This window comes from Homo sapiens, chromosome 9 (assembly GCF_000001405.40).
Source record: "Homo sapiens chromosome 9, GRCh38.p14 Primary Assembly".
In the NCBI taxonomy this organism is placed as follows: Eukaryota; Metazoa; Chordata; class Mammalia; order Primates; family Hominidae; genus Homo; species Homo sapiens.
In genome coordinates this window covers 135,866,282-135,879,026 of record NC_000009.12, presented here as the reverse complement: position 1 = coordinate 135,879,026, position 12,745 = coordinate 135,866,282, and the positions used below count along the sequence as shown (strand labels likewise).

At 41.1% G+C, this 12,745-nt stretch overlaps 1 protein-coding gene across 9 annotated transcripts in view, besides 1 other annotated feature; it reads left to right on the top strand.

The window, feature by feature from the left end:
- The window catches only part of CAMSAP1 (calmodulin regulated spectrin associated protein 1), a 99,060-nt gene that overhangs the window by 28,520 nt on the left and 57,795 nt on the right, over positions 1-12,745 (top strand). For all 9 annotated transcript variants that reach the window (NM_001437281.1, XM_011518273.3, NM_001437280.1 and 6 more), the window contains one exon: positions 12,491-12,571. In NM_001437281.1, coding sequence (NP_001424210.1) covers positions 12,503-12,571 — 69 coding nt within the window. In that variant the 5' untranslated portion in view covers positions 12,491-12,502. The remainder of the gene's footprint in view (positions 1-12,490; positions 12,572-12,745) is intronic.
- Positions 96-728: an enhancer, noted in NCBI's record as "H3K27ac-H3K4me1 hESC enhancer chr9:138770145-138770777 (GRCh37/hg19 assembly coordinates)". NCBI's record gives its function as "activates a minimal SCP1, AML or CMV promoter by ChIP-STARR-seq in naive H9 embryonic stem cells {active_cell/tissue: H9 hESC(naive)}" and the evidence as "EXISTENCE:reporter gene assay evidence [ECO:0000049][PMID:30033119]".

Genomic DNA, 12,745 nt, shown 5'->3' with positions numbered 1-12,745 from the left:
GTCAGGCGCCCATTTTCACAACTCATGTTCCTTTCCTTGTATTATGCTTTGTTTTTCCTGGAGTTAATACTTGGTTTAGTTTTCATGACCTTTTCTTTTTTCTCATGCATTATTTACATTTGTATTCAGTGTTTTCCATATTTTACTGTTTTCTTGCCATTTCCATATGAATTTAAGTTCCTTACGTTAGTGGTTTCTCCTTATGTGACTTTCTCCCGGGTGCGAGTCCTCACTGCAGGATGCGATACCGGCTGAATGCTTCCAAAGCACCTTTTGCAGTGTGAATGCCCGGGTGTGTAGGAAGTGCGAGTTCCCCGAGCAAACTCTCTCACCCGCGCTGTGTTCCTAGGCCCTCTCCGGTGTGGGTTCTCAGATGCTTCACTGGCTTCGAGCTGTGCCCCAAAGCTTTCACTCTACAGGTGGGGTTTCTCCCCATTGGAAATTGCTGCATGTTTAATAAGCTTGGGGCTGTTGGTACGATTTCCATAAGGGTGAGTTTTTTCTCCAGCATCAATTCTTTGATGCATAAGGTCTGAATTCCCTTTGGGCATAGATACCATGTTTCCAAGATGCCTGCTGTGCGCAGGTGCATTTGAGTGCAGATTTCAGCTTCTCACACCCACACCTGGGTAATCCCTCCTTGGGTTTGGCTCTGTGTCGTCCTCTGCAGCATCTGTGGGGGAATGGCCATGTTCTGAGTCTCTCCTCCTCTGTGGCATCCCTCTGGGACTCTGTCCTGCCCCTGCCTGCATGGTTGCTGCCCCAGCCACCTGCATGTCTGCCATCCTGGACTTTCCCTCCCTTCACCTCTGCTCCAGGCCGCTCACCCGTCTCCTCCTGGCCGGGGTCCCTACCTGGGTGCAGGAGCCTCCCTGCCGTCTGAGGAAAGGCTAATGCTGTGCATTTCCGGGACCATTTCTGAGACAGCTTCTGAAGGGGCCTTCCTCCACCTTTCCCTGGTGATTGTGTAACTAGATGGAAGCGCTTTCCCCAGCTTGAGGGGGTTGCCCAGCTGTCTTCTCTCTTCCAGGCTGAGGAATCTGCTGCCATGCGGGTTTCCCATCCTGTATGTGACCCAGATGACCTCACTCAGGTTTTCCTCCTTCCCGGGTGCTCTGAAGTTTCACCATGAATCACCTTGCAGGGGCTCTTTTTATTTTTTATTGATGCCCAGCCAGTTGTTGTTGTTGTCTCTTTCTCTCTTTTTGTTTTTTTGGAGACAGAGTCTCGTTTTGTGGCCCAGGCTGGAGTGCAGTTGTGTCATTGCGGCTCACTGCAGCCTGACCTCCCAGGCTCAAGCAATTATCCCTCCCCAGCCTCCTGAGTAGCTGGGACTACAGGCATGCACCACCGTGCCTGGCTGATTAAAAAAAATTTTTTTTAATTAGAGATGGGGTCTTACTATACTGCCCAGGCTAGTTTTGAATTACTGGGCTCAAGCAATTCTCCTGCCTTGGCCTCCCAAAATGGTAGGATTACAGATGTGAGCCACCACTCCTGGCCTGTTTTTTTCTTTTTTTTTTTTTTTTTAAGACAGCTCTACTGAGATGTATTTTATATGAAGTCAGTGGATCTTTTTCCTTGAGTTTTGATAAGCAGTCATTTGTTTAGCATTCACCACAATCAAGGTAATGTTTCCATCACCCTAAACAAGCTCTTTCATGGTGCTTTGCAGTTAATCCTCTACCCCAATGCAGGTAACTACTCATCTGCCATCTTCACGGTGGATTAGTTTTGCTTTTTTTTTTAGGTTTTGATAAAAGTGAAGTTGTGCGGTGTGTGCTCTTCTTGTGTTTGGCTTCTTTCAGTGAACAAAGTGTTTCTGAGATTGACCTGTGGCATTGCATCTGTCAGAAGTTCTGTCGGTGCTTGGTAGAGTTCCATCGTGTGCATATACCATGGTTCGTTTATCTGTCCACCTGTTGATGGACACTTGGGTTGTTTCCAGTTTTTGCCTGTTTTGAATAAAGCTACTAGGGACATTTGTGTGCAGATATATTTTTATTTCTTTCTTTTTTTAGATGTAGTCTCACTCTGCCACCCAGGCTAGAGGGTAGTGGCAAGGTCTCGGCTCACTGCAACCTTAGCCTCCTGGGTTCAAGCGATTCTCTTGCCTCAGCCTCCCAAGTAGCTGAGATTACAGGCGCCTGCCACCACACCTGGCTAATTTTTGTATTTTTAGTAGGGACGGGGTTTCATCATGTTGGCCAGGCTAGTCTTGAACTCCTGACCTCAGATGATCCACCCATCTCAGCCTCCCAAAGTGCTGGGATTACAGGTGTCAGCTACTGTGCCCAGCAATATTTTTATTTCTTTAAGTAAAAATTTAGGAGTAGAATCTCTGGGTCATGTGATAAGTATATATAACTTAATACAAGTATGTGTAAGTTCAGTCATTAGAATAAACTGCCAAAATGTTTTCCAGTGATTGTACCATTTAGAACTCCCGCTAGCAAGATAGGATTCCGGTTGCTCTACACTTGTTACAGTCCGTCTTTTCTCTTTAGCCATTTGAGTGGATGTGTAACTGTCGCTCATTGTCGTTTTAATGTTTTCCTAATGGGTAAAGATGCTTGTCTACATTCTTTTATGAGGTGCTGCTTCAAATATTTTGCCGAATTTTTAACTGGGTTGTCTTACCAAGTTGCAAGAGTTTTTAGAAATGTATGTATTTGGGAATCAAGGGCCTTGTCAGATGTATGTATCATGAAGATCTTCTCCCAGGCCGGCCACCTTTTTGTTTTCTTAACAGTGTCTGTCAAAAAGCAAAGGTTGGCTGGGTGTGGTGGCTCACACCTGTAATCACAGCACTTTGGGAGGCCGAGGTGGGCAGATTGCCTGAGGTCAGGAGTTCAAGACCAGCTTGGCCAAAAGTGGTGAAACCGTGTCTCTACTGAAAATACAAAAATTAGGCGTGATGGCGGGCGCCTGTAATCCCAGCTACTCAGGAGGCTGAGGCAGGAGAATCACTTGAACCAGGGAGGTGGAGGTTGCAGTGAGCTGAGATCATGCCACTGCACTCTAGTCTGGGTGACAGAGCAAGACTGTTTCAAAAAACAAGCAAAGGCTTTTAAAGTTTTCTTTGTAGCCCAATTTATCAGTATTTCCTTTTATGGTTTGTCCTTTTGTGTCTTATAGAAGACATCTTTACTTACTCCAAGGTTGTGAGGAGTTTCTCCTATGTTTTCTTCTAGACGTTTTTTTGTTTTAGCTCTTACATTTGCCTCTGTGACCCACTTTGAGTTCATTTTTATGAATGATATGAGGGAAGGGTTGAGGTTCATTTTTTTCTTCATATAGATAGCAGTTCTGAAACCATTTATGGAAGAGATTTTCCTTTCCTTATTGAATTACTTTGACATCTTTGTTGACAATCAGTAAACCACATATATGTGAGTCTGTTTCTGGATTCTATTCGGTTCCACCGATCTTTGTGTCTGGTTTATAGGAATACTTGAAATTGGACAATGTTAAGTCTTCCAGCCATATCCTTTGTGTTAAAAAATAATTGTTTTTGGCTGGGCGTGGTGGCTCATGCCTGTAATCTCAGCACTTTGGGAGGCTGAGGCGGGTGGGTCACTTGAGGTCAGGAGTTCGAGACCAGCCTGCCTAACATGGTGAAACCTCATCTCTACTTAAAATACAAAAAACTAGCCAGGCATGGTGGCACATGCCTGTAATCCCAGCTGCTTGGGAGGCTGAGACAGGAGAATTGCTTGAACCTGGGAAGCAGAGGTTGCAGTGAGCTGAGATCATGCCACTGCACTCCAGCCTGGGCGACAAGAGTAAAACTCCGTGTCAAAAAAAAAAAAAAATTGTTTTCACTATTCTAGGTCCTTTGCATGCCTACCCTTAATTTTAGAGTCAGCTTGTCAGCTTCTATAAGAATACTTGCTGGGATTTTGATTGGGAATGCATTGAAGCTAGATGAATTTCGGGAGAATTGATGTGTTATTAGTATTGCATATTCCAGCCCACAGACATGCTTATCTCTCTCCGTTCTGTGTAGACCTAACAGCTTCACAGCTTCTCTCAGCCATGTTTTATGGTTTTTCAGGGTAACATTTTGTATATAGTTTAACTTTATTCTGTATCTTTTGTGTTTTGGATTCTATTATAAATGGTGTTCTCCTAATTTCATTTTCCAGTTGTTTGTTACTAGTCCGTAGAAACGTAATTAATAATTTGTATATTAACTTTATATTTTGTGACCTTGCTAAACTTATTTATTCTAGTGGCATTGAGAAAATTCCTTAAGATTTTCTACATACAAGATCATGTTGTCTGTGTATAAAGTCATTTGTATTACTATTTAATATGTATGCTCTTTTTTAATTATAAAGGTTTTTTTTTTGCCTTACTGTACTGTTTAGTACCTCAGATAGAATATTGAATAGAATTGGTGAAAGAAGACATTTTTGCTTGTATTTCATCTTAGGGAATAAACATTTACTGTATTAACCATTGAAATGATGAATGTTGGTTGTAATTTTTTTTTCATAGATGCCCTTTATTAGGAGTTCCCGGCCCCTGTGGCCCCCCCCCCCCTTTTTTGAGACAGGGTCTCACCCTGTGTCCCAGGCTGGAGTACAGGTGGTACGATCATAGCTCATTGTAGCCTCATTCTCCTGGGCTCAAGCAATCCTTCTGCCTCAGCCTGCTGAATAGCTGGGACTACAGCACACAGCACCACGCCTGGCTAATTAAAAAAAAATTTTTGTAGAGGGGATTTTGCCACGTTGCCCAGGCTGATCTTGAACTCCTGAGCTCAAAGGATCCGCCTGCCTTGGCCTCCGACGCCTGGCCAGGAGTTCCCTTCTATTTTAAGTTTGCTTAGGGTATTTTTTTCATGAATACATATTGAATTTTGTCAGATGCCTTTTCTGTATTTATTGAGATGATTATATGACTTTTCATTTTTAGTCTGTTGATACAATGAATTACAGTAATTGATTTTCAGATGTTGAACCAGCCCTTTCATCCCCAGGACAAACACAAATTGGTTGTGTTTATTATTTATTTTATATATTGACGGATTCGATTTGCTAATATATTGTTGATGATTTTTGTGTCAATGCTCTCGGCAGATACTGGTCTCTAGTTTTTTTTCTCATGATGTATTTCTCTTGTTTTGGTGTTGGGGTAATGTTGGGCTAAAAAAGTGAGTTGGGAAGTATTAAGGTAAAAGGAAATTAAATATTAAATTCACTGGTAAAGCAATCTGGGAGTGGAGTTTTCTTAGACGATTTTAATTATGAATTTAATTTCTTTAATATACATATGATAATAGATTTTCTATTTAGCATTGTGCTAGCTTTGGTAATTTGTGACTTTCAAGGGATTTGTCAGTTTTATTTAAGTAGTTGAATTTATTGGCATAAGGTTTATATTTCTTTATTTTCCTTTTAATATACCTGCGATCTGTAGTGACAGTGTCCTGTTTGTTTCCTGAGGTTGGCAATTTCTTTCATTTTTCTTTACCTTGATTAGTCCGATTTATCAACTTCATTAATCTTCTAAAAAATCTTTTAGTTTTTATTTTCTCTATTTAATACTTAATTTCCTTTTACCTTTATTATTATTTTGTATTTTGGGTTTAATTTGTTCTCCTTGTCTAGTTTTTTAAGGGGGGAGTTAGTTATTGAAGTCTTTTTTCATTTTGAAGGCAGGTATTTAAAGCTGTCGATTCCTCTCTAAGCGGCACTTCAGCCGTGCATTATATATTTTTATAGGCCATGTCTTTCATCATTCTCTTTAAAATATTTTGTTTCCCCTGTGGATTCTTGTTTTCTCACTGGGTTATCTAGAAGTCAGATGTTTAATTTTCAGATACTTAAAGAGAGGTTCTAGATAGCTTTTTGTGTTGTGGTTTCTGGTTTAATTCTGTTGTCAGGGAACATACTCTGTGATTTTCATCCTTTTAAGTTTATTGGGACTTAGGGTCCGTGACATGCCTTACCTTGCAGAATGTTTAATATGCATTTGAAAAGAATATTCTGCTGTTTGAAGGTAGAGTGTCTTCAGTGTCAGTTCAGATTGGTTGTTGGTGGTGTTTGTGTCTCCTTTACCGTTTTCCTGTCTTTAGTCCTATTACTAGGTTAATCTGAGAGGAGGGTGGAAGGTCCTGAGCTGTGCACTTGTAACCCGCCATTTGGTTCTGTCAGTTTTTACTTTGTGTATTTTCAAAGTCTGTTACGTTTACACATATTCAAGTTTTCGATATTAGTTGATGAATTAACCCTTTTGTCATTATGAGATGTTGCTTTTCATCACTGGTGGTAATCCTTGTCCCAGAAGTCTACTTCATTTAATGTGGATGTGGATTCAAGAGTGCTTGTGAATAGTGGCTGCACGGTGTATGTTTCATTCCTTTAACTTTTAACCTCTTGTTGTCTTTCTCTTTAAAGTGAATTTTTTGCAGATGCTGTGTAGTTGCTCTTGCTTTTTTATTCATCTGACAATCTCTTAGAGTGTTTAAACCAATTGCATTTAATGTGATTATCCATAAGGCTTGGTTTTACCATCTGGTCTGTTTCTGTTTATCTCTTTTCTTTTTCTTCCCTCTTTTAAGGGTTATTTTGGATTTTTTTTTAAGTACTCCCTTTTATCCTCCTGTATTTTGTCGGGGTTGCTTTAGGGTTCCTGTGTGCATCTTTAGACCGTCACAGGCTGCCTGCAAGTCAAAGTGATGCCATTGCACAAATAGCAGAAGATGCATCTTTTCCTCGCTGACCTTTGTGTTGTCATTCATTCTACCCCAGCTGTGCTGTTTTGGCTTTCTTTTATCTTTTAAAGTATTTAAAAATTGAGAACAAAAGTCATTAATATTTATCCACATAATTTCCATTTTTGTTGTTCTTAATTCCTTTGCATACATCAAGAGTTTCACACAGTTTGGTCTCAGGATCTCTTCCGTTTTTTTTTTGAGATGGGAGTTTCGCTCTTGTTACCCAGGTTGGAGTGCAATGGCGTGATCTCGGTTCACTGCAGCCTCCCTCTCCTGGGTTCAGGTGATTCTCCTGCCAGCCTCCCGAGTATCTGGGATTACAGGCGCCTGCCACTATGCCCGGCTAATTTTATATTTTTAGTAGAGATGGGGTTTCTCCATGTTGCTTAGGCTGGTCTCGAATTCCCGACCTCAGGTGATCTGCCCACCTCGGCCTCCTAAAGTGCTGGGATTACAGGCGTGAGCCACCACGCCTGGCCAGGACCTCTTTATAAATTGCTGTGGACCTCAGATAACTTACCTTTTTTTTTTTTGATAGAGCTGGGGCCTTGCTGTGTTGCCCAGGCTGTTCTCAAACACCTGACCTCAAGCGAGCTTCCTGCCTTGGTCTCCCAATGTGCTGGGATTACAGGTGTGAGCCAGTGTGTCCTGCTGAACTTGTAAAGAAAATTTTAATCTATCAATGTTTGCCATACTAGAAGTTAAAAATCAGAAAGTTTAAAAATATTTATTTAAAAATAACAGTAAGTTGATTTCATGTTAATACTAACAATGTTTTAGTGAAAAATGACTATTTTTCAAAACAAATTAGAAGGGGCTGTGTGTGGCTCACATCTGGAATCTCAGCACTTTGGTAGGCTGAGGTGGGAGGATTTCTTGAGCCAGGGAGTTCAAGACCATCCCCGACAACATAGTGAGACCCCATCTACAAAAATTATTAAAAATTAGCCAAGCATGGTGGTGTGTACTTGTAGTCCCAGCTACTTGGGAGACCGAAGCAGGAGGATTGCTTGAGCCTGGGAGATTGAGGCTGCAATGAGCCGTGATTATGCCACTGCACTTCAGCCTGGGTGACAGGGTGAGACCCCATCTCAAAATAAAGAAATAAATAAGGAAGATGGCAGTTATTTTACAATTTTGCAAGTGTCTTACTATCTGGCTTGCTAGAGGATAGCTGATTCTCCTATCTACTTTTGCATTTAATCTGTCACAATATGTTGTTGTTATTGAAGTTCATGAACAAAATCTGGCTTCATGTAGATATATAATTGGAAGAGGGGATAGTATTTTCACAGTCTTTTCTGAGAAGTATGCAAATCTGTTTTTGCTATTACACCAAAATTTGACAAACAATAGTTTCTCAAAGATTAATTATGTGGAATTTGAAACTATCATCAATTAATGTTTTTAAGAAATTGAGATATAATTTACATGCCATAAACTTCACTATTGTTAAAATGTACTAGTCAGTGGATTTTTAAATTTTTTTATTTTTATTTTTTGGAGAGAGAGACTCTGGCTCTGTCACCTAGGCTGGAGTGCCATGGTGTGATCTTGGCTCACTGCCACCTCTGCCTCCTGGGTTTAAGGGATTCTTCTGCCTTAGCCTCCCAAGTAACTGGGATTACAGGTGTGTGGTACTGTGCCTGGGTAATTTTTTTATTTTTTGTAGAGATAAGGTTTTGCCATGTTGGCCAGGCTTGCCTTGATATCCTCGCCTTCAAGTGATCCATCTGCCTCGGGCTCCCAAAGTGCTGGGATTACAGGTGTGAGCCACTGTGCCTGGCCTAGTCAGTAGTTTTTAATATATTCATAAGGGTGTTGTATTAATCTGTTTTCACACTGCCTAAAGAACTGTCCAAGACTGGGTAATTTATAAAGAAAAGAGGTTTAATTGACTCAGTTCCACATGGCTGGGGTGGCCTTGGGAAACTTACAATCATGGCGGAAGGGGAAGAGGCACGTCTTACATGGAGGCAGGCGTGAGAGAGCAAGCAAGAGTGGGGAAAACTGCCTTATAAAACCATCACATCTTGTGAGAGCCCACTCACTATCACAAGAACAGCATGGAGAAAACCTTCCCATGATCCAGTCACCTCCCACCTCGTCCCTCCCTCAACATGTGGGAATTATGGGGATTAGAGTTTGAGATAAGATTTGGGTGGGGACACAGAGCCAAACCATATCAGCTTTATAGTCATCATCACTGGCTAATTCCAGAACATTTTTATCATTCCAAAAAAACTCTGAACCTATTAGCAGCCAGACGTCATTCTCTCCTCAGCCCCTGGCAACTAGCAGTCTACTCTGTATCCATGGGTTTGCTCAGTCTGGACAGTTTTTATGAATGGTATCATACAGTATGTGATCTTCCGTGCCTGGCATCTTTCACAGAGCATGTTTCCAGGGTTCTTCTGTGTTGTAGCGGGTGTCAGCGTTTCATTCCTTTTTATGCCTGAATAATATTCCACTGTGTGCTTACGCCTCGTTTTGTTTATTCATTTATCAGTTGATGGGCATTTGTGGTGTTTCTGCATCTTGACTATTGTGAATAATGCTGATTTCATGCACAAGTTTCCTGTGTGAATACATGTTTTCATTTTTCTTGGGTATGTACCTGGGGTGGAATTGCTGGGTCATGTATTCATTCTGTGTTTAGCTTTTTGAGGAACTTCCAGACTGTCTTCCACAGCAGCTGTGCCATTTTGCATTCCCACTGGCTGCATCTGAGGGTTCTAGTTTTCCCCATCCTTGCTAACATTTGTTATTTTCTGGCTGTTTTTTTTTTTTTTTGTTTGAGACTGAGTCTCGCCCTTTTGCCCAAGCGGGAGTGCAGTGGTGCGGTCGTGGCTCACTGCAACCTCTGCCTCCTGGGTTCAAGTGATTCTCCTGCCTCAGCCTCTCAAGTAGCTAGGATTACAGGTGTGAGCCACCACACCTGACTAATTTTTGTATTTTTTGTAGAGACAGGGTTTCGTCATGTTGCCCAGGCTGGTCTTGAACTCCTGAGCTCAAGAGCTCCATCTGCTTCAGCCTCCCAAAGTGCTGGGATTACAGGTGTGAGCCACCGTGCCTGACTGTATATCTTCTTTGGAGGAATTCATACCCTTTGCCTATTTAAAAATTGGATTGTCTTTTTATGGTTGTATTGTTCTTTTATAGATTCTGGGTACTAGATCAGTGAGTTTTTATACTCTGTTATTACTATATAGTAACCATTTCTAGTTCTTGCATTCTTCCTGGACCTTTTACCCACCCAGGGTTTTGCAGCTTCATGCTTTGGTCATTCGGAAAATTGTTTCACTGAGTTATGTAGATCTTCCAAATGTTGTCACATTTCATGACACAGTATCAAAACTTACATTCATTGATATTGCCAATCTTGGCTGGGCGTGGTGGCTCACACCTGTAATCCCAGCACTTTGGGAGGCTGAGGCAGGTGGATCACGAGGTCAGGATATCGAGATCATCCTGGCTAACACGGTGAAATCCTGTCTCTGCTAAAAACACAAAAAATTAGCCAGGCGTGGTGGTGGGCGCCTGTAGTCCCAACTATTCAGGAGGCTGACGCAGGAGAATGGCGAGACATGGGAGGCGGAGCTTGCAGTGAGCCGAGATCATGCCACCGCACTTCAGCCTGGGCGACAGAGCAAGACACCATCTCAAAAAAAAAAAAAAAAAAAAAAAAAATTGCCAATCTCATCAGAAAAGCCTTTACATGTTAGGAAGTTATCTAGCTTTTGGTGGCAGAAACAAGTTTTCCAAAATTTAAATTTTTTCTGAAATTCAAATTTTATTACTGGAAAAAAGTAGTTTTCTTTTAGTGACAGACATTCATTTAAAAAAAAACAAAAAACACTTCTTTGGTTTTGAGATGATGTCTTAACATGTTTGCAAATGTGAATAACTGGTTTGTTAATGGCTCAGCTTGTAACTCAGTCAGGTGCACAGGTGCATGTCCCGAGGTCACTGATGTCATTTGGACCACAGGAGAGGTGCTTTGTGCCTGCTGACCATGTGGTCATGGAATACAAAAGAAGTTGTACTATAAGGTAGAGATTTAATAAAATATTTTCCATCTGTATCGTTTCCTTCAGCCTAAAAAACTTCTTTTAGCATTTTTTTTTTTTACAAGCAGTTCTACTGAATTCTCTCAGCTTTTTTGTTTTTTTTTCTGAAAAAGACATTTTGCTTTCATTTTCCAAATATACGGCTGGATATAAAATTTTAGGTTGACTGAATTTTCTTTCAGGTGAAAATATGGCTCCATTCTGTTATGCTGCTGGGGTTACTTTGTGGGATGAGGTGGGACTGGGTTCTTGCTCCAACTTTTTAAGACACTGACTTTCAACCGTTGTCTTGTCTGCAGCCTTGTCTCTGGTCTGAGGATGGGAGGCGTCTTGGGGTTGTTTGCAGGGCCCCTGCCTGGCATCTCTTCTCCAGCACTGGGGCTGCACTGGCTCTGCTCTGTGTAGGTTTCCCTTGCTTACAGGGTTCCCCTCTTGCCTTGTTTGTCCTGTGGATTTTCAGCTTTTAAATTATCTTTTCTGTATTATTTTCACAGGGATCAGAGTTACAAGCAAATGTTTGATTTACTCTGTTTAGTCTTCTTGATTTTTTGGTAATTTATATTTTCCTTTAAAATGTTAGTTTCATTAAAAATTTCAAATTAATTTACATTTTAAGAAGGATGTGTTTTTACGTGGTGCTTTTTTAGTGGCTTCGACTTTCCTCCAAAAATATGACTGTTTCATGTTATGTATTGGTATTTTCATTCATTTTCTTGATTAGCTTTACAGACTTTTTTTTTAAAAAAAAAAAAGAGGGGGGTCTTGCTGTGTTGCCTAGGCTGGCGTGCGGTTTTTGGACTCAAGTGATCTTCGTGCCTCAGCCTTCCAAGTGGCTGGGATGATACGTGTGAGCTGCCACACTCGTCCTTTGCAAAGGACTCTTTTAATCATGCATACAAAACTTGGTTGTGGATTTAAATATCCTTTCTTCTACTTTCTCATTGATTGAATTTTACATTATCTATATTTTTTTTGTCTTTATTTTTAAAAACAGTTTTTCGTACTCCTGATTTGATGTGCATGGTGGACTCCTTTGTCTGTGTTGTTTGATGACGAAGCATTCAGCTCTGTGTCTTTTTGTCTGATCATGGCTTTTACCTAGCCCCTTTAAGCACTGCTGAGTGTTTTTCTCCATACTTTATGATTGCAATTTTGATATTGAGTTAGTAATTACAGGAGAGAATACTTAAATTTCTAAGAAGTTGAATTAATTTTTAAGGGGTGTATAGTTAAACTTTTATAATTAGATTTGGTTTGGTATGATTTTTGCATGGTCTGGGATGTGTGACCCATCCTGTCACAAGTTAGGCTCTTTAGTGAGGTGTCTCCACCAGATTGTTTTGTAAGTGGCATTTGCTGTTGGTGTTGGAGAAGCTTAGCTGTTTGACAGTACTTGTGTGGTGAGTGACCACTGCCAAGATGTAGTGACTCTGCCCCGCAGTGACGGGGGAGCACTGCGCTGGCATTGGGGTGGGGGTCGGGGGCAGGTGGTTTCCTGGTGGTAGCAGGCGGACCTTGTTGTGGATCATGTGGAATCCGTGTACTTCTGTATCTGTGTAATTGGCCTAAACAATACCTATGTCTAGGAGTCAGAGGTGAATCAGGTGAAGTGGGGGTCTCTGGGGGATAATTGTGGAGATACAATTGTGCGGGACAGCAATTACCTCTTTAATGCATTTCTCTTCTACTTTAGGTAAATCTTAAAATGAGAGAGATAACAGAGAAAGAAGTTAAATTAAAACAACAGTTATTGGAAAGTCCAGCTCATCAAAAGGTAAAGGGTAAATTTAATTTTTCTGGAATGCACTAAGTTAATGTTGGTCCCAATTTTAAAGAATTCTGTTAGTTCCCACTATTTGCTTATTCTCTATTTTTACTCACCAAAGAAGCAGCTAGTCTCTTGGATTCACCTGGTGGGCTGATTCTCCACACCTCAGTGAGATGTGAC